At 42.6% G+C, this 22,497-nt stretch overlaps 1 protein-coding gene across 8 annotated transcripts in view; it reads left to right on the forward strand.

The window, feature by feature from the left end:
* Positions 1–22,497, forward strand: part of STAB2 (stabilin 2) — a 179,447-nt gene that overhangs the window by 95,107 nt on the left and 61,843 nt on the right. For all 8 annotated transcript variants that reach the window (XR_007063104.1, NM_017564.10, XM_011538537.3 and 5 more), the window contains 11 exons: positions 826–921; positions 2,610–2,705; positions 5,789–5,836; positions 7,467–7,603; positions 8,045–8,159; positions 10,433–10,510; positions 13,171–13,269; positions 13,358–13,465; positions 16,717–16,848; positions 20,769–20,897; positions 22,179–22,235. Coding sequence is in view for 7 of the 8 variants with exons in the window: in NM_017564.10 (NP_060034.9) it covers positions 826–921; positions 2,610–2,705; positions 5,789–5,836; positions 7,467–7,603; positions 8,045–8,159; positions 10,433–10,510; positions 13,171–13,269; positions 13,358–13,465; positions 16,717–16,848; positions 20,769–20,897; positions 22,179–22,235 (1,095 nt within the window). In the remaining variant the exon portion in view is untranslated. The remainder of the gene's footprint in view (positions 1–825; positions 922–2,609; positions 2,706–5,788; positions 5,837–7,466; positions 7,604–8,044; positions 8,160–10,432; positions 10,511–13,170; positions 13,270–13,357; positions 13,466–16,716; positions 16,849–20,768; positions 20,898–22,178; positions 22,236–22,497) is intronic.

The raw sequence follows: 22,497 nt of genomic DNA on the forward strand, positions 1-22,497 counted from the left end.
TAGTTGGCTTGGAAACTTTTAGACTTTCCAAATGGACACAAACCTTAATTACGAGGAATGCTGCTTTAAAAAGACAAACCGTGCTGGAGCCAAATGTTTCTAAATTGAACAAAGTGCCTTACAGGCTAGCAATGGCCTCATGCATGCATCTCCACCAAGTGGATACCCCACAGCTTGCTTAACCTTTCTCATTAGGTAGAAGGGCCATCCAATATGATGCTTTTTAGGGCCCAAGTTCTCTCTGAGACTATCTCCATAGGACCCTCTGGAGTAAAGAATTCAGGAAGAGGCTGGGCGTGGTGGCTCATGCCTGTAATCCTAGCACTTTGGGAGGCCGAGGCAGGCGTATCACAAGGTCAGGAGTTTGAGACCAGCCTGACCAACATGGTGAAACCCCGTCTGTACTAAAAATACAAAAATTAGCCAGGCGTGGTGGCACGTGCCTGTAATCCCAACTACTCAGGAGGCTGAGGCAGGAGAATCGCTTGAACCTGGGAGGCAGAAGTTGCAGTGAGCCAAGATCATGCTATTGCACTCCATCCTGGGCGACAGAGTGAGACTCCATCTCAAAAAAAGATAAATAAATATATAAATAAATTCAGGAAGAGAGTACCAAGAAACTATCATATTGGAAAATGTAATGTAGAATATGGAGACTAATAACTCTAGAATCTGAAGTGTATCAAGCAAAAGGCATTAACACTGTTCTCTGGGACAGCCAAGCAGCTTCAGTTTCCATAGTACGTTTCTCAGTGCTGTGTGAGGGAAAGACATGGAAGGCACTTGCTTTCAATAATCCACTTGACTCTGTTCTTAAAATTATAGAATGAGTGTGAGTGCAAGAAAGGATTTCGAGGAAATGGGATTGACTGTGAACCAATAACTTCATGCTTGGAACAAACCGGGAAATGTCATCCATTGGTGAGTTATTTAACCTTGTTTTTCATTACTTAAAAAAAAAAAAAAAACAATGCTTGAGAAAGAAAGATTATTTCCTGTCTGGCCTAGTGATGAACAAAATCTCTTACCCCCAAAAGGGAATCTCTAAGCAGAATGCGAGTAGTTATTGCAACTTCTACTTCATTCCAAAGCTTGGAAGAACCAACATATGACTTCCAGGTAAAATACAGAAGTTCTGGTTAAATTTAATTTTGAAGTAAGTAACAAACAATCTTTAAGCACAAGTAAGTCCCAAATATGGTGTGGGATAAACTTATAATTACTCATTTTTCACCTAAAATTGAAATTTAACAAGTCATTCAATATTTTTATTTGCTAAACCTGGCACCTCTAAACCAACAGTTTAAAGGATAGTTTAAGAGGTAACCGGACTTCCATTTCGAATGTCACAACAGAGTTTTACAAGTTATCGGTGAAAATGCCCATTCAAGGGTAAATGGTGCCTTGCTTCTCAACTTTGAAAGATCAGGCACAGGTATTAGGGCTGGGGGTGGTTATGCTTTCAAAAGAACGCTAAGCACCAAACATAGGAATCAATGAAGTCTGATGCCTTAATCACAGTGTTTGGAGTTCCAGGTAACAGAGTCCATGCAGAAGATAAATTTGCTGGGAGGACCCCCAGGGTAGCTCTGGGAATCTAGAGGCAGGAAGTATAGCTAGACTTCCCAAGAGCCCAGAACCAGGACATGAAGAGAGCAGGATCACCAGAATCTAAGCAGTTTCTTTCCCCAGTCCTCTGAGACAATGTGACCTCTCGTTTGACTTCCCTCTGTGCATTTTCTTTCTCTCTGCCTCTGTCTCATTCCCCGAACTTGTAGTGCTTCTGTGTACATCTTGAGGTAAACGGTTCCCCCACCATCAGTGATGCCCTCTAATTTATTAGCACCCCATGTCCCCGTTCAAAATCATAGAGGAAAGGATCTAACTGGCCCAACTGGGTGCAGGTGTCTACATATGAGTCCGTCAATTGTGGCCAAGAAGTGGGGTTGTTATGAACATAGCTGCCAGGGCCCACCCCTAGTACATGTGCAGGGTGGGGCGTGGGGGACTAATTCTCTGATAGAAGAAAAATGAGGAGGGAGATGCCCCCAAGGTGTCTGTTACTCAAGAATCTCAAGAACATTTTGCAAAGCTGAAGGAGCTCTCACACTTCTGCTTGATTTAAGCCCAACCAAGCCCTGACATTCCAGATGTGAGTAGCTATTGCAAGTTTCATTCCATTGCAAAGCTTGGAAGAACCAACATATGATTGCCAGATAAAATGCAGGATACCCAATTGAATGTGAATTTCAGATGCACAAGTATGTGTTGAAAAATCTTTCAGCACAAGTATGCCCCAAATATTGCATGGGCAAACGTATACTCAAACTTACTCATTTATCTGAAACTCTCATTTAACTGTGCATCCTGTATTTTTTTATTTGCTAAATCTGGCAGGGATGAGAATAAATAATCGTGATTAATAGCTGCATCAAACATGCAGACAGGAGACTTTCACTGCAACACTAAAGGGTCTATGGGTTACTTCTACCATCTTTCAGCCCCAAATTTGCAGTTATCACCTTAGATGGAGCCTGTCGTCTCATAGATGTAACTCAGGTCTAACGTTTTTGTTGGGGTAACCATTTCTTTCATCTTGGTTTTCTCAGGCAAGCTGTCAATCTACTTCGTCTGGTGTCTGGAGCTGTGTTTGTCAAGAGGGCTATGAAGGAGATGGCTTTCTGTGCTATGGAAACGCAGCAGTGGTAAGTCATCGATGATGAACTCAATAATATAGACAAAACCCTTTAAAAACCTCTTAGCTAAGATGCCTTTAAAGTGATCTATTGACATATCTTTTGCTGCAGGAGATTTTACATGAAGCAAGCTGTTTCTCACAGATGACATACATGCTCTGTGGGTCACGTTTTCTACAGGCTGAAGGCAGCTGGCTTTTTGGCAGCTTCTGTGTACCAAGCAGTCCTTACTTCTCTTTCTTGATACTCTACCTGTTTCCATTCTCAGACTTCCTAAAGAGCAACTAACTGGCCTCTGCTGGGTTCACTGGGCTCTCCTGTCTGGGCTACCCTTTGCTTACCCATGCTGTGTGTGTGTGTGTGTGTGTGTGTGTGTGTGCGCGTGCGTGTGTGTGTGCGTGCGCGCATGTGTGTGTGTGTGTACACACTTCTTTATGCCAGGCGTCTTGCTCAGTCCTTACCAGGCAGTAGCACTCCATCTAAATCTCAACAACCTTCTGCTACTATTATGCCCATTTTACAGGCAGGTAAACTGAGAGGCTTAGCAAAACTTGCCCAACACCCTTCAGCTCCAGAGTGAGGAATCCAGCTGATAGCTCTGATAGCTGTCAAGTGCAGAGCCCAAATATTTAACCACCAGTGTAGAACATTCTATCTGTACAGCATGGGCCACACTAAATCAGCATTGCTCCTACATTTTTCTATTTTGACCATAAACTTTTTTTTAATTTATTGAGGTAAAATATACATATATAATTTACCATCTTTACCATTTCTATGTATATAGTTCAGCAGTAATAAATACATTTATATTCTTTATTTTCTTTTCATCCCCTCCCTCCCCTTCCCTTCCTGGTCTCTGGTAGCCACGAATCCACTCTCTGTCTTCATGAGATCCATGTTTTTAGCTCTTGCATATCAGTGAGAACTTGTGATATTTGTCCCTCTACAACCATAAACTCTTGAAAGATGATCTTTGTCTTGTTTCCTACGTCAGTCCTATTGCTTATAAATATTTGTCAAAATGAGAAAGTCAATTGACAAATTTCCTCATCACTTACTTTTTATTCAACTCCCTGCTGTTGAGTTCCTGCCCCTCCTCTCTGCTGAAATCACGAGCCTAACAATTCCCAGGACCCGCAGCCTGCACTAAGAGTCTCGCCCTAAGAACCTTGCCCTTGGGGGGCCCTTTCCACCCTTCCCCTCTCACTGTCAACTGTGCCTTCTACTCACCGAGTCAGGCCAAGGAGCTGTCTCCTGACATGCAGACCATGGCACATAAATCACAACATTTTCTCTGCACTAGCTACAGACCCTGGTTTCCTAAAATTCTAAAATCCTGCTTTCACGACGTCCCTCTCCTCCCACGAAAAGCAAAATTAAGTCCTCAGCTTGGCTCTCCAGGTATCTCCACACAGACTTCACTCTTGTTTTTGGTCTTTTTCTTGAGACAAGATCTCACTCTGTTGCCCAGGCTGAGGTACAGTGGCATGATTATGGCTCACTGCAGCCTTGACCTCCCCAGGTTCAGGTGATCCTCCTGTCTCAGCCTCCCAAGTAGCTGGGACTACAAGAATGTGTCACCACACTCAGCTAATTTTTGTATTTTTTATAGAGACAGGGTCTCGCCATGTGAGATACCTCAAACTCCAAGTGATTCACATACCTCGGCCTCTGAAAGTGCTGGGATGGCAGGCCTGAGCCACCATGCCCAGCCCACTTGTTTTTCTTCTAAACAGCTTTCCGCTGCAGTTTAGCCGCCACCTCCCCAGCTCCAGGTCTGCCATGTTCCTCTCTCTCCTCCCCAACTCTGGCCTTCCCACCAGCAGATCAGGTGCACCTCAGCCCTCCTCTCCCTTAAAATGTCCCCTCTAAGGGATTACTCAGGCATCTCTGCTCTTGTGTTTATTCACTTTCTTGCTAACTTACTTTTTTAACATGTGCTTATTGACTTGCTTAATAACCTCAACTACTAGATGGAATTGAGTCAGCACTGAGACTTATTGTATTCATGTAAATTTGCATAGGATCATGATATTGCCATTTTTCTGGTATTCAGTAGTTTAAAAAATATTTTCACATATATTAATGCACTTAATTTTCATAATCCCTGGAGCAAGGTTTCACCATATTCATTTTCAGATAAAGCACTTGAGTTCTCAGAGGTTAAGTGACTTGCCCAAGATCACACAGCTGGTAAATGGCAGATCCAAGAAGTGAACCCAGTCTTTTTTAATAACTCTGTGTTTAGAGACATTAAAAAAAAAAAACTATAACGCCTTCAAATGTCACTGCTCTGCCAGCAATATTGGTTATCTTTTCAAGGCCGAACTTCCCCTAAACAACTGTAAGTCATAGAGGAGCCAGGGCCATCTTTTCCCTTCAATATCTTACATCCTCTTTCATATCTTATAGCTTCCCTTCACCCCACCCCAGTACCAACTGGGGTGGCTCTATATATAGAGAGAGCCATATGGGTAAATTAAAGATAATAGGGGCTAAAACTTACTGAAATTACTGCATGCCAGCCTCTAATCACTTTAAAAACAACTCCTATTTCTCTTATCAAACTGTGAGTTGGAGCTTTTATTATGCCCATTTTACAGATAAGAAAATTGAGGTCCTTTAGGTAACTGGCCTAGGGAACTAGGAAATGGCAGAACCAACATGAAAACCCATGTGGTTTGCTTCCATTGTTCTGAGCCACTACTCACCAACGGCTCTGAAAGGGGGCTATTTGCTGAGCTCTGTGACCCCCACTTAGCGTCTAGGTAGCCGCGTTCTTACAGCCTAAATTCTGATTTGGAAGAACCTTGAGTTGTTGCTTCATTCGAAGTTCCTGGAATTACTTCCATAGAGAATAACCAAGCCACCTTAGTGTGAAAGAAATGTGCGGTTCTGTCAGCATGGAAATGCAGCTAGCTGGAGCACGCATTCACATCAGCATCAGGGAGGCAGGCCAGGACAACGAGCCTAGCCCCAGGAAGGCTGAGTGCAGGTGACCCAGAGATGCACTGTGATTGCACTTCTCATTGTTCTTTCTCTGTGTTCTCTCCCATCTCTTCTTCCCTCCCTTGCATGATATGAATAAGGAATTGTCATTTCTCTCCGAAGCAGCTATATTTAACCGATGGATAAATGTGAGTACCTTTATTGGGACTTAGGATTGGGAATGTATATATTTTAGAAACTTGGAATGCATACAATAGAAAACCGAAAATGCAGCTGGTAAGGAGTGTAGGCAATTGTGCTGAGCAGTGTTTCTCAACGCTGGCTGCACTGTGGAACCACATGGAACACATTTTTAAAAAATATTCCTGCATAGGTCCCACCCCTGAAGACTCTGATGTGATTGATCAGAGGTTTGCTCTGAGCATCAGTGTGTCGGGGCCAGAAAGGGGGCTTCATTCATCACAGGATTCTTTTTTGTAAGTTAACATGACTCATCATTGTAATTCACCAAGTTCGATTTGGGATTTATAGCTGCAATCTGACATACTTCATATGTGCTTAACTCTCAGCTCAACAAGAGCTGCCAAGCCCAGCCAGCCATTGCAACAAATGGTTTATCCCCTTAAAATAGACACATGCCAAATAGTCCATGCCTGGTCAGCACCCACCCCAGGACAGCTTCCTGTTGCTTCTGTATGGGGCCTCTCTGAACCCCCCATCCCAGCATAGGTGAAAGAAGAGACTGAGCGTGCTCTCTTGAGCATGCTGACTTTCATCTAGACTCTTCATTCTTGGTCTCACCCCACAGGCATGAGCTGGCCCAGTGGTGTGCTGAACCCTGTTCACACTCACTCACGAAAGCTGATTGTGCACATTTTTCCTAACTCCACTTTCGGTACAGTCATTTTGGTATCTTGAAATCAGCCCTGGTGGGAGTATTTACGCCATAGAAATCAGTAAATACTACAAACCAAGTCTTTTGGTTTTTTTTTTTCTTTTTCCTGGAGATCCAGTTGTTAAACATGCCACTGCTTCTACCAAAAACTGGCTCTCTAGGCAAGAATGAAATTTATGTAAGGTTTTATTTCAGCCCTCTACTTTCTCCCATGCTGAAACTGTTCCTGCAGTCTCCCCACCATCCTTACTTCAAAGACGTCCAAGAATACTCAAGGTGGCTGGGCGCAGTGGCTCATGCCTGTAATCCCAGCACTTTGGGAGGCTGAGGTGGGTGGATCAGGTGAGGTTAGGCGTTCAAGACTAGCCTGGCCAACATCGTGAAACCCCGTCTCTGCTACAAGTACAAAAATTAGCCAGGCATGGTGGTGTGTGCCTGTAATTCCAGCTACTCAGGAGGCAGAGACAGAAGAATTGCTTGAACCTGGGAGGCGGAGGTTGCAGTGAGCTGAGATCACACCACTGCACTCCAGCTTGGGTGACAGAGTGAGACTCCATCTCAAAAAAAAAAAGAAAAAAAAAAATGAATGCTCAAGGTTCTCTGCACACACACATACTCACAAGAACCTATTAAGGCTATTTCTTGGCTCTTCATTTAGACTAAAGTGTAAAGGACTTATAATGACTGAAAGTGTGATCTCATTATCAAAGGCAGATTTGCTTTGATAAGACTCATACATTGAATTAAGTGAGTCTCACAAGGGAAAATGAGGCAACAGCCAGTGGGTGGGGTGGATTTGGGAAAGGAGACCCTAGGACCCTTCCAGTATCTTATGGGAAATTGTCATCTCTTCCAAGCATTTAAGGCAGCTCTGTTTGTCCCCTAACATAAGCAGGTCACTTTATTTTCCTTCTGTGGTTCAGAATGCTTCTCTACAACCCACACTGTCAGCCACCTCAAACCTCACTGTCCTCGTGCCTTCCCAACAAGCTACTGAGGACATGGACCAGGATGAGAAAAGCTTCTGGTTGTCACAGAGCAATATTCCAGCCCTAATAAAGTAGGTGTTACTTATTTTATTTTACATCGTATCTGAATGGCATCTGTGTAAACATGTCTTTGAAGTTCAATGTAGGAAAACCACATGGTCCTTCAAATTCGTGGAGCTGAACATGTTCTAGGATTCTCCTTTCCTCCCACCCCAGGATAGTAATAGTCAACAATTGCTGACAGCCAACTCTGCCAAGCACTCTTTTACATATAACCCAGTTAATTCTCTCAACAACCCTATGATAGATATTGTAATGATTCCCATTTTACAGATATGGAAACCAAAGCACAGCGTGGTTGAGTAACTAACTCTAGCCAAGGCTGGTAACTGCAGGGGGAACTTGAATTTTGACTATGGCAATCTGGCTCCAGAGCCTATTCTCTTAACTATTCAATGATACAGCCCCATACATTTATATTGAATTATAGCCTTTGTGGACTATTGTTTCAGGTACCATATGCTACTAGGCACATACAGAGTGGCAGATCTGCAGACCCTGTCTTCTTCTGACATGTTGGCAACATCTTTGCAGGGCAACTTCCTTCACTTGGCAAAGGTGGATGGGGTAAGAGCTCTGGAATTTGTCTGTTTACTTGAAACATAACAGCTTTGTTTATATTGTACTTTTTAAATTTTCATGTTATGGGAACTTCCAAACATGCGCAAAACTACAGAGAACAGAATCCCTCATGTGGGCATCACCCAGCTGCAATAATTATCATCATATATCAATACATACACATATACACGTTACCCTATAGCAGTGATCCTCTAAAATGTGGCCTTCTGCCCACTGATTGGCCACAAGTCTTGCAACAGACCACAGACTAACCCAGAAAGGGTAAAGGATGTGCAATTCCACAACTTTTCTTTTGACGTATAGTTGATTAAGACCTGGTTATTAGTAATTGAATCTGTATAGAGAAATGAAATTGAATCTTTATAGAGTTGAGTCTATATATACTCAATCTTTATAGAATTAAATCTTTATTAGAGAAATGAAATTTTATATTAAGGTAGAGTTAATCAACCAACAACTATTGAGCACCTACTACTATGTACCAGGCACAGATCTAGGTGCTGGAGATAGGGCAATGCCCAAGGAAGAACCCAGCCCTAGAGAAGCTTATCATCTGGCACTTTCTACAGTGTGTCAAAGACTCAGATTCAGAATTCTGTGAGGGAGTCTGGCCGCCCTGCTGCACGGGCAGTGTTTCAGAGCTCTTCCTGTGAATTGCACAAGATGAGAATGAAGATTCCACTGCAAAATGAGAACTGCTACATCCATGAACCATGGGCTACAGTCAAAAATGTTTGAGAATTACTGCCCTAAAACATTTCTACCCTCCCACTCATCAGTGTGAGCACTATGAAAAAGATCTATGCGTAGTAATACCTACATATATGTGACTCATCAGATATTTTCTTTTAGAAAGCAGAAAACAGTGGTCCTATGGCTTTTTAATATCTTATGATAATTCTGGTGACATTGAAGTTATTTTCCATCAGGTTTTAAATTAAAATTGTATGTATTTAAAGTGTACAATATGATGTTTTGATATACAAATACATTGTAAGGTGATTCCTACAGTCATGCTAATTTATTGGTGTTTTAAATCATTGATTATCTTAGCAAGCATTAACTAAACACCCATCTGGGCAGGCATATCCCAGGCCCTACAGATTCAGAGGTAAATCAATCAAGGCCCTTGACCTAGAGGAGCTAACCATTAAAGACACATTTGTAATGAGTTCATTCCTATGTCCTATATAAATATCTCCTGCCAGGAGGGTTTTCTTCAGGTCCTCTGCAGATGTGACTTGGGAGTTGCTCAGAGTGAGACAAGACCAGGGTTTCCAGAAGGGATTTCAACTGGGGAGAAGAGGAGAGGAAACCAGAAAGAGTAGAGTCCAGTTGGTGTTGATTGGTGGCTGAGTGGGTGGGTGGGTGGGTTGGATTTTACTTAGCCCCATTTCTTATGCAATTCATAGCCTCAAAAAGTAGTTGGATTCTGATCAGGAAAGTCAATTACCATCTGTATTAGTTTGCCAACACTACCATAACAATGTACCACAGACTGGGAGGCTTAAACAACAGGCATTTATTTTCTCACAGTTCTGAAGGCCAGAAGTCCAAGATCAAGATGTGGGCAGGATTGGTTCCTTCTAAGGCTTTGAGGGAAGGGCCTGTCTTTGGCCTCTCTCCTTGGGTTGTAGATGGCATCTTCATGTTCACATGGCAGTCTCTGAGTGTAGCTGTCTCTGTACAAATTCCTGCTTCTTGTGAGAACACCAGTCAAATTGGATTAGGGTCCACCCTAAGGACCTCACTTTAACTTGATCATCTCTGTGAAGACCCTGTCTGTAAAGTCATCATCTGAGGTACTAGGGGTTAGGATTTCAGTATACAAATTGTGGGGGCAGGGGGGGACACAGCTCAACCCACAGTTCTGTCTCCAGGGTCAAACCACAGGGTCACTTTAATGAGCCTCGAACAGCACTTTTGTCAATGAAATAGCATGGAATAGAATAGACTTGATGATCACAGTACCTCCCACATAGGGGAAAGTATTATTTCTTTCTTTCTCTTTCTCTTTTTCTTTCTCTCTCTCTCTCTCTGTCTCTGTGTGTGTGTGTGTGCGTGTGCACGTGCACGTGTGTGAGAGAGAGAGAGAGAGGGGTCTATGGGACAACAAGTTAAAGGTATTTCTTACTGTGGGTCTTGGCCCAAAAGTATGAAGGTCACTGCTGCTCAAAAAGCAGAAACCCCAGAGATCATCTCAATCCCAAGGTGCGCTCTATAAAGACTCATCTTCCCACTGTGGTTTGCATTTACAGAATATCACAATTGAAGGGGCCTCCATTGTCGATGGGGACAACGCAGCCACAAATGGAGTGATACACATCATCAACAAGGTACAAGATTCCATTCTCCTGTGCGTGCAGCATCTCTTTTCCCTTTGTTGTTTATCGTCCTATACAGCATTTTTTTTTTTAAATAGAAAAATACTTAGCCTTATATGGAAGTAACCGGTACTGTGCCTCATGACTTTTATTTTAAAACCATCAAGAGAGTCTATTGATTCAATGAGACTCAGTTTCCATTTATCCAGCCTGTATTCTGCAATGGGCCCTTTATCAAGTGTGGTCACATATATTATCTTTCTTGTTTATGGAAACATCTCAAAAGACACTTGAGGCCAGGTGCTGTGGCTCACGCCTATAATCCTAGCATTTTGGGAGTCTGAGGTAGGAGGATTGCTTGAGCCCAGGAGTTCAAGACCAGTCTGGGCAACATAATGAGATCCTCTCTCTACCAAAAAAAAAAGCATGCACCTATGTGGTCCCAGCTACTAGGAAGGCTGAGGCAGGAGGATCACTTGAGCCCAGGAGGTCAAGACTGCAATGAGCTGTGTTCAAGCCACTGCACTCCAGCCTGGGCAACAGAGCGAGACTGTCTCACAAAAACAAAAAAAAAACACACTTGAGCTTAAGCACCCTGGCACTGTGAAGTCTGTACAACCAGATGGGATATAATCAAGAACTGGAGGGAGAGGCATGTGATTACATATCATTTTTCCACTCTCCTATCTGCATTAATGCATCCTAAAAAGATGAGGTAGGGAAGGCCCTAAGGAAAAAAGTGGAAAAGAATATAAAAAGCATGGTGACATTTTTATTTTCTTCTAATACCCAGTATAACAAAGGTATGACATAGGAAAAAAAGAATAATGAGAAATGGGATTGTAAGCTACCCTGCAATTTTCAGTTACCATATTAGGATCTTCATTTAAAATGAAAGTTGCAAGTTGGAATTTAGGGTACATTGGGAACTTTTGTAAGATGGAAGATCAGAAAAAAATAACAATTAATTGTGTTTTAATTAAAATTGTTCTCAGTTGGGCACGGTGGCTCACTCTTGTAATTCCAGCACTTTGGGAGGCCGAGGCGGGCGGATCACAAGGTCAAGAGATCGAAACCATCCTGGCCAACATGGTGAAGCCCCCTCTCTACTAAAAAAAAAAAAAAAGTACAAGATGGCTGTTAATTGATTCAGTTATCTGTGTAGCCTCTGGGCTGCAGGCGCTCCCTAAGGAGCTCCTTCTCTATCTGTCAATTGGCATCAAGGGCATCTTTGTCAGGGCCACCATTGTGCCCTGCATAAAGGTGCCTGGCCAGAGTGGAGGCTAGCTAAATCCCAGCCCACTTCACTCCCCATGCTGTGCACCCCTGTTTGGGGTTGCAAACTCCTAGAGAAAGGAGTGTCTTTTTCTTGATTTTCAGTGGCCCTCATCACTGCCTATTGTTATGTGACATAGACATAGAACCATCAAGTTCTATCAGGCCTTCTCCTCATAGCTCTTGAATCTGCCAAATCCCGTCTAATCACCTTAAGCCCCTCCTCCCCCTTCAGCTCCAACAACTCAGAAATGTGTCTGTCTTCCTCCAACACAGGGGTTGGTACAACGTTTCTGGAAAAAGCCAGATACAATTATTAGACTTTGCAGGTCACATGGTCTCCATCATAGCTGTTCAACTCTGCCACCGTAGTGCAAAAACAGACTTAGACAATATGTAAACAAATTTGCATGGCTGTATTCCAACAAAATTTTATTTTTAAGTACAAGCAGCAGACTGGATTGGGCTTTCTACTGTAGTATGCTGTGAGCTCATTTAGGGCAGAACCCAGACCTCAGTCACACTTGTATACCCACTGCCTGGCCTGTAGTAGGCAAGCAATAAATGTTGGAAAAATACTGATTAGATTAGAAAAACATTCCAGTGTTGAATTCTTCAATCTGACAAAGTTCTAGGTAGAATGCAAAGGTGAAAATAGTGATCTTGGCCAGAAGGTTAATTATGCAGAGCTTGCAAACTCAAATGCCCAGATAGATCAGATGGATAACAAAATGAGTAAGGAGTATGTCCCAAGTAGAAGACATTAGGGAGTGGTGGAGCCTATAATGAAAGTGGCTGCTGCTACTCTCTGCAGCTGTGTGTCTGCAGAAATTCAGACTGATTTTTTTTAAAGGCAATCTAAATTTATATGTAAAAATGTCCTATTATTACATAGCACAAGCCAAACAAAACATTTTTACAAGCCAGATTCAGGCCACTGGGTTGCAGTAGATTTGAGACTTCAGAGAAAATAAATGGAGAACCTAAAGAATAAACACACGAATAACAACCAAGAAGAAAGGATTAGATATTAGCTGCAACCTGCTGTGTTTCACCTCGATTTGGTCTAAGGTCTTCTCTGACAAGGTAGATTAATGCGAGCTGGAATTAATTACTTAGGAGAAGCTGAAAGTCTTTCGTGCAAGAAGAACTTTTCTCTAATCAAGGAGGTTTAACGGTAAGGCATAAAATTGAATGACTAACATCTCCAACTCTGCTCCAGCCTTGTCATGCTGTATCCTGGAATATTTTTATACTGTGAGTAATCTTCAAAAGGTTGTCAATGTCAATCCATTGAACTGTCTAAAGAGGTTAATGGCATTAGACTCTCCTATGTATCGAAAAGCAGTAGGTCCTACCAAAACATGCTAACAGGATTCTGGGGTTTCTTTTTTCAGGTGCTGGTCCCACAAAGACGTCTAACTGGCTCCTTACCAAACCTGCTCATGCGGCTGGAACAGATGCCTGACTATTCCATCTTCCGGGGCTACATCATTGCAAGTACCACATTCTCTGCCTGACCACCATGCTCAGGTTACCCAGGAACAGGAATCCCTCATGCACTCTTGTCTCTTTCCATCGCAGCAATATAATCTGGCGAATGCAATTGAGGCTGCCGATGCCTACACAGTGTTTGCTCCAAACAACAATGCCATCGAGAATTACATCAGGGAGAAGAAAGTCTTGTCTCTAGTAAGTGTCAAGAACTATAACTAGGGAAGTTATTTTGTGAAAATTCAAACACTCAGTGTTTGTAATCCATTAGTTGTGTGCCATTTCACTCCTTCATCCTTGTCCATAGCCACATACTTGACGTAGACTGGTGCAGAGACTCTCTCATACACAAACATCCCCTCGGTCAGAGCTGCTGGATGCTACTCACATGCCCCTGGAATTGCACACTTGAGCCTGTATACACAAGGATGCAGGTGTGGTGCATTAAGGGTGTGGTGTTGGTGTGTATATGTAAATATGAACAAAGGAAGCCCAAACCCACAGGTGCTTGGCCTGTTTAGGATCTATCTATAGAACCATCACTCTGGTTCTAGCCCGAGTGATGAAACCACATGGAGAAACCACATGGTTTCTCCAGAGCAGTGGTGGGAGAAAAGAGTGGGCTCAGGGGTGGCTTCTCGGGGCTTTCAGTGCCACCCCCATCTTATTAACATCCTCATCTCAGCCACCCAATATAAACATGGAAGTGAAAACAGTGTGCTTGCCGTGCAAATCCAGCTTCAAATGTGTCTTCTCATGTGGGGTTGGGGTGGGGTGGCCCTGGGCCCTTCCCGTATAAAAATTCTGGAGCCACTACTGAATATCGGATAAATTATGATCAGCTTATGGTAGTCTTAAATACCTGGAGAGGTCATTTGGACTTAGTCCTGTAAGAAACAGGATCCACAAAAGAGTTTTAAGTCAGATCGTGGCATGATTGAAGCTTTTGAATTAATTCACAAAATCCTTTGACAAACTTTGACTATTTACCCCTAGATGTTAGGAATCAGGGAAAATAGAGAAGGGGAGAAGAGGAGGAAGAAAGAGATAATCCACCCCTCTAGGTCCCTGCTGCTGACATCTTAGCTACTGGAACCAAGGAAAGGCCAGGGACGGGGGGAGGAGAGGAGGGGTGATCATGAGGATTCTTCCAGCTTCCTGGGACACCTGCATGCTTGTTCCTATGAGCTCAAGTGTGTAATTCCAGGGGTATGCATAAAACACACAGCAGCTCTGCTATGGGGGAGGATTGTATATGGGAGAGTCTCTGTGTGAGGCTGTATTAAGTATGTGGCTATGGACGAGAAGGTTTTGATGGAAAAGTGAAATGACACGATTGAACTGAAAACGGTGTTTGAATTTTCAGCAAATAGGGATTTTTCTTATTTAATAAGGAAATAAGGAAGGCTGCTCTTCTTCCTCACCACCTCCTAAATTATCCCTATCCACTCATCATGTCCAGTCCCACCTCCTCAGGGAAGCTGGCCCTGGCCACCTGAGGTGAGCTGCTCTCTCCCGCCTCTGAATTCACACCATGTGTACCCCCTTTCAGCATTTATTATGTATCCCCAATAGGATGAACTGTCTTCTCAAAGAAGCAAGTCTTAGCTCTCCAACTAGATTATAAGCTCTGAAGGCAGGGAGAGTGTCCTAAACTCCTGTAACAGGCATGTTGCACTCCTGGGATGGAACTGGAAATCTTCTACCTTGTCTTTTCCCTGCCCTCTAACCCAACCCATTTCTTTAACCTCTTCAGTGAGAAATGTTATTTTTCTGCCACAGAATGAAACTTCAGACAGTCCCATAGCCTCTCTGCCTTCCCAAAAAGTCCTATAATCACCTTGGAGACAAATGTACTTTAAGTCACAAACTCAGTCTCAGCTAAGTAAAAATAAAGAATCCAATTCCTTACAATAATTAACACTTTGAATTGGATTTAAAACTAGTTCTTCCTCCCTCCCTGCTCCACAGCAGAGCTTGGTGCAGAAAACATCTCGGTCCTTGAATCAAGGTCCACAGGAGATGGAAAACATACCAATTACATAAACTGAGAATTTGATAGAATGAATTGTTTATTGGATATAAAGCTGTATAAATGAAAGGTTAAAGTGAGAAAGAAATATCACAATGGTAGCAATCACAGGATTCACTTATGACCCCTAAAGCTAGGAGAACAATGGGAGGAGGTTGGAATTTCTAAAATGTATAAACCTAGAGCCTCTGAGAAGGGGTCACTATTCAGCTGGTGCTGGTGTCTTTGAGCTTGGATGAGTGGCGAGGGTCTCTGTGGGTCTGAGACCCAGACCTCCAGGAGCAGGCATTGCCTGGCTGGTGTCTTATGAGCGGAGAGGGCAGGATTAAGCTGGCTCTGCGAGTGACGGGAAACTGCCAACCAGATTCAGGTGCCACTGCAGGGAAGAGAAGTGAGGCTGGGTGATGCCAATAGGAACAGGGAGAGAACAGGAAGGACTGAGTTCCTCTTTCCCCTCCAGCCCTCTGACTGTCTAGAGCTTCTCATTGGCAGACCCTAATAGGGAGCCCCTTGCAAAGGAGAAATGTGGGAAACAGCCTCAGCCCCAGCATCATCAAGCAGAGTGTAGGAGGTGGATTTGGAGCTGACAGGCAATCACTTAGGAACCTTCTCCTCTCCTTCCCCACAGGATGTTTCTCTTCCCTTTCTGATCTCACTAAATTCCATTTTGGTTTCACTAGGTTTGAAGTAGCGGGGTAAGAAGGGTTAGTGGTTGGGAAGAGACATCAAGAGGGTAAGAAGGTTAAGAGGGGTGGAAGAGGGCAGGAAGGACCCTAAAACCACAGAGCCCACCCCTAGCTCTGCCCCGGGGAGCCTGCCCATCCAGGCTGACATAGGCTCTCTCAGACACTCCCCATGTCTGAGCCACAGCAAACACCCACATTCTTGTCCCAAGCCAACTATGCAAGTGCAAATCGGTCCCACGCAGCAACAACCCTCCTCACTTCACCAAGAGGCAGCTCACCAGCAGTCCCTGCCTTGGTCAGACCCCATCCAACATGCCACCCTATCTCCACGAGACACAGATCAAGGTCCTTGGAGCATCCTAGTGAAGCTCCTCTCGTGCCCCAGAGGTGAAAGGCAGGCTGGGGTGTGGGGACTCTAACTTCTCAGTAGTTCTGCCCAAAGAATTATCACCTTTAAAATCTACCCCCAGCTCTCATATCTTCAGTCTGGGTTTTAGAATCCTCTAATGAGTTCTTGACTGTGCTATCTGGAAAATTTGTAAGTTCTCTGAAGCCATCTGTTTCACAACTCACTTTCATATTGAATATTGTGTCTTAATACCTCTGTCAAAACTTCCACTTGGACAAGCTGTTGTTCCTCTTTGTAATCTCCACAGTGACAGCACATGGGAGAAGCTGGGTAACTGTCAGGCTGATCTCTTGACTGACTTCCAATTCTGTGTGTGATCCAGGAGGAGGACGTCCTCCGGTATCATGTGGTCCTGGAGGAGAAACTCCTGAAGAATGACCTGCACAATGGCATGCATCGTGAGACCATGCTGGGTTTCTCCTATTTCCTTAGCTTCTTTCTCCATAATGACCAGGTACGATCCTTTTATGTAAAACCCCAGCAATGCCACCGAGAATTACATCAGGGAGAGTATGAGGAATGAGTGTCTTGGCTCCTGTCATCCTTCATCACTTCTGTATTAGTCAGTTTTCACACTGCTGATAAAGACATAGCCAAGACTGGAAAGAAAAAGAGGTTTAACAGACTCAGTTCCCCGTGGCTGGGGAGGCCTCACAATCATAGTGGAAGGCAAGGAGGCACAAGTCACGTCTTTCATGGATGGCAGCAGGCAAAAAGACAGCTCGTGCAGGAAACTCCCCCTTATGAAACCATCAGATCTCATGAGACTTATTCACTATCACGAGAACAGCATGAGAAAGACCTGCCCCCATGATTAAATTACCTCCTACCAGGTCCCTCCCACAACACGTGGGAATTCAGGATGAGATTTGGGTGTGGGCACAGCCAAACCATGTCAACTTCCATATTGGGATCATCTCACCAGTGCTTCCTAAGCCTTACCAACACAAAACGGTTGTCTGTGTTTCACCATAAAGTAAAGCCTAAACCAGACTGTCAAGCTCCCACTCTCCTGCCCAGTTGCCAGCCTTCAGATGATCAGTGTAGCCTTACAAATTGTGGCATTGAATCTCTGCAGTCATAGGCGTCCTTCAGCGCTGGTACAACAAACCCAACAGATGGCCCCCAAGCCGTGCCTAGGATGGGAGGGAACCTGGGAGATCAACCTAATTCCCAGGAAGTGGTGTGGGCTCCAGGGCATAAGAGCCCCATGACATACACAGGAGCCAGCAGCCAAGTGTATTAATGTTATTATCATTGTATAACCATAGAGATAGATTGCAGTCCTAGGACTAACCGACCACCACACTGGTATTCTAGTGTTCATCTCACATGATACCTAAATATTTAAACGTGTTTACAATTCATAGAAAAGAATTCATGAGGCTCAATATTTAATATATTTCAGTTATAAAATTCTATTCACATATTTCAAATATCAAGTAAAAAGATCAGTTTGAAATTCAATAAGAAACTCATAATTTTAATGTAAATTATCACAAGAAAAATTAAAACAAATTATTTAAGAGACACTAAACACTATATTGAAATGAAGGTTTAATCACAGAACTTTTTAAGCGACAATATTTGAACCTTTCTAAAAAGTATAATTTTAAAAACAATTTCTTCAGTGGTGTCACTACTGAATAACAAGTAAATTTTTATGTAAAATGGTTTTTATCTGCTTATGGGGAAAAAAGTCTTTCTGACTCTTGATTGATTAAAGAATAATCTAACTTCAAATATTTTTCTCAGACTCCTACAGATAAGTCTACCTATTGTGTAATAACTTGGAAGAGGCCCTTTTAAATATACTTTTTATTTTTCCAGGATTGGTAATTATGGTATTGACAGAGCTTCGTTTTTGCTTCTGTATGTGTTTGTCACCTTTTATTTCATCATGTAGAGATTAATGCCCAATGCAGTTAGCTGAATCAATTTTAGAGCTGCAGCGTTCATTTTTCCATGTGTGCAGAAATTCTTTTATCTAGAGAAAGAATTCATACAATAGAGGCTTTTATTGATAATTTACTTTCTCTTATGACAATGGAAGTATAGAGAAATGCTTTCTTTTTTTTAATTATTATTATACTTTAAGTTTTAGGGTACATGTGCACAATGTGCAGGTTAGTTACATATGTATACATGTGCCATGCTGGTGCGCTGCACCCACTAACTCGTCATCTAGCATTAGGTATATCTCCCAATGCTATCCCTCCCCCCTCCCCCCTGCCCCCACCCCACAACAGTCCCCAGAGTGTGATGTTCCCCTTCCTGTGTCCATGTGTTCTCATTGTTCAATTCCCACCTATGAGTGAAAATATGCGGTGTTTGGTTTTTTGTTCTTGCGATAGTTTACTGACAATGATGATTTCCAATTTCATCCATGTCCCTACAAAGGACATGAACTCATCATTTTTTATGGCTGCATAGTATTCCATGGTGTATATGTGCCACATTTTCTTAATCCAGTCTATCATTGTTGGACATTTGGGTTGGTTCCAAGTCTTTGCTATTGTGAATAATGCTGCAATAAACATACGTGTGCATATGTCTTTAGAGCAGCATGATTTATAGTCCTTTGGGTATATACCCAGTAATGGGATGGCTGGGTCAAATGGTATTTCTAGTTCTAGATCCCTGAGGAAACGCCACACTGACTTCCACAATGGTTGAACTAGTTTACAGTCCCACCAACAGTGTAAAAGTGTTCCTAAGAGAAATGCTTTCTAAATGAGTAGACACAGTCAAGTCAAAATTTCAATGTGATCCATAATTCTCTGAATATACCTCAGAATGGAAATAATTTAGACTTTTTTAAATGCCAAATCAACAGTATTACAATATCAAATGTTCTTCTATTTTTAGTATTTAAAAATAGCTCAACATCTTAGAATTCTGGAAATTTATTACAATCACCATTTGAGACTAAGGTTTCCTCTTAATTTTCCAAATGTACACAGACCTTGGAACACCTCTGTGGAGTTCAGCCAGACTTATCCCAACATCCAAATGGAAGCTCATTTGACTGCAAGTAAATCATAAGGGACTTTAACATTCAGTGGAAGTTTGAATTAAGCACTTAGTACGGTCATTTTAATATTGCTGTAACATGGATTTCTGGGATAATATATGAATTTAAGAATTTTAAACCATTGTTGGATCCTAACTTGAGTTTTCCCCTCTCCCAACTTCAGCCCTGCTACACACACACACACACACACACACACACACACACACACACACACACCCCACCCCAATTTTTCAAAGAATGATTTGCTTCCAGTTATATATGTGTTATATTAATGAATGAATCCATGGCTTCATTTATTTTTCATTGATTACTCATTAAAGTGTTCTTCCCTAAAAAAAAAAAAAAAAATCAAAACAAATTGCAACTCAAAGTTGAATTTGACTTGGCGGCATTTAGATACAGACTTCATACCCATGCCTTGGTTGTTTATGGACACGCTAAACAAGGACAGATATAAATATACCATTTTTTAAAAAATTATCAGTTATTTTTTTTTTTTTTTGAGACGGAGTCTCGCTCTGTCGCCCAGGCCGGACTGCGGACTGCAGTGGTGCGATCTCGGCTCACTGCAAGCTCCGCTTCCCGGGTTCACGCCGTTCTCCTGCCTCAGCCTCCCGAGTAGCTGGGACTACAGGCGCCCGCCACCGCGCCCGGCTAATTTTTTTGTATTTTTAGTAGAGACGGGGTTTCACCTTGTTAGCCAGGATGGTCTCGATCTCCTGACCTCATGATCCACCCGCCTCGGCCTCCCAAAGTGCTGGGATTACAGGCGTGAGCCACCGCGCCCGGCCTATCAGTTATTTTTATTCTTGTATAACCATCATTAGCCTTTCTGAGGGTTGTTTGCACATTAACCATGAAGCGGAGACATACTGAAAGGAACAGTTGCATTCTTCGATTCTTGGTTATGGAAGGCACTACCACCTCCAGAACCACTGGTCTACAGCACAACTGAGCAAGTCCATGGAGCCGTCTTGCCGGTGGGCACTAACATAATGATCATGGGTGGTATTTTTCAAACAAACATAAGCCAATTAATTTGCTTCATGGAAGATACCTAGAAATTATGTAGAACAACTTCTTCCTTTTACAAAAGAGAAAATTAAAGTTCAGAAGAGGAAAGCAATTGGCCTAAGGTCACACAGCTAGATGGCGCCAGGACTGTTATTCAGACTTCCGCTCCTAAGTCAGAGCTCTTTCCAATACAAGTGACTATTATATCTCCAGGTGAATATTGTAATATCTCCTAGGCAATTGTCCTATTGCTAACCTCCACTTCCTATCTTTTCCATATCTCTTTAAATGTCATAAAAAGTGACATTTAACCCTGTTGTTCACAGCTCTATGTAAATGAGGCTCCAATAAACTACACCAATGTAGCCACTGATAAGGGAGTGATCCATGGCTTGGGAAAAGTTCTGGAAATTCAGAAGAACAGATGTGATAATAATGACACTACTATTATACGAGTAAGTTCTATGGGCCAGAGCCAGTGATGGAACTAATGAATATTGGCTTTTTTTTATATAATTTTGGGGGCATAAGGCTTTTCTATTAAGGTGTATCAATTCAGTCCATAAACCACTGAATGAGTATCTTTGATGTGCCAAGGAGCATACCAGGCTGTGGTTCTACAAAGATACATAAGACATGACCCCTGCCCTCAGTGGGCTTGTGATCTAGTGCAAGAGGTTGTACCTTGTGTGCCTGGGAAAGGCTGCCAGGTGTGTGGGGATGGTGGGGGGGAGTGGTGTGCTGTGTTGGGCAGGATTTTGGACCATGGCTTTCTTCAAAGGGAAAATGTGCCATATCTAGGACAGGCACAGGGTAGGAACCATGGTGCCCCTATGGCAGTTATGGGCCAAGCCTGCTCTACCAGTAGAGAAAATAAGGAAATGAATGATTTCAGTGTATTATGGAATATGATAATGGAGGCTTTTCATGCCAATTCATGGGGCTATGTAGGACCTTTCAACAATAATTATAACCACTGACGTTTATCGGACACTCGTTATATGCCGGGCACTGCTCTAAACATTTTACATGCACTAACCTGTGTAATCCTCACAATACTCTACCAAGTAGGTACTATTACTATCCCCATTTTACAGATGGGAAAAGTGAGCCAGAGAGGTTAACTAATACATGCAGGTTCATACACTACCAAGTGGCAGAGAAGGGGTTTAAATGTAGGCAGCCTGGCCCAGAACTGGAACCCTGAACAACCACATTATCCTGTCTGGTAGGCTTAAGGTTCAGAACTAGACACATTGACCACCTCCTGTTTTAGGGACAGGTTGAGCTTGAGGGTTTCTGTCATTGTGAACTTTTACTCTTTGTTTTGTAATAGCATGTATTATCTCTGGGGCATCTCCATGCTGAACCCCTCATCTTAGCAATGTGCTCCGAAGCTGGGCACTGGGTACAGTAACTTGTGAGTTTCTGAATCTGGCCCAATTCACTTAATAGTTGGTTTTTAATAAATAAAAGTTATTGTTAAAGAATTTGGACTTAAATGAGATAAGGTCACACTTTAAAGAGTTAGCAGAGTCAGAAGAGTGTTTTGGAGAAAAGTGATGCAAATGTGCAAGACCCAGAGGAGTTGAAGTGTTTGTCTCAGAACATTAAAGAGGCTGCCCAGATAATCTGCCTTGATTTTTAATTCAAAAACCTTCATTTCCAAGTTCTGGACATGCAGCTTCATTTTGTATTAAAGTTAATTACATTGATTGCTTTTGTGTTTTACCAAGGGAAGATGTAGGACATGCTCCTCAGAGCTGACCTGCCCATTCGGAACTAAATCTCTAGTAAGTACTTTGTCTGTTTTGATAAAATAGTTTCCAGATCCGAGGAGTCCCAATTAGAAAATGAACCTCAAGATTATGTGATTTGCACTTCCCTCATTCCTTCACTTAATTTGAATTACACTTTACCTCGTTATATTATATGCATCTTTGTAAAATCTTACATCTATTTTTTTGGACCAAGGCAAAATTTAATAAACATAAATGGGTTCATATGAATCAACAGACAGGACAGAAATTTTTTATGCTCTACGTCTTTCATATC

Source organism: Homo sapiens, chromosome 12 (assembly GCF_000001405.40).
Source record: "Homo sapiens chromosome 12, GRCh38.p14 Primary Assembly".
NCBI lineage: Eukaryota > Metazoa > Chordata > Mammalia > Primates > Hominidae > Homo > Homo sapiens.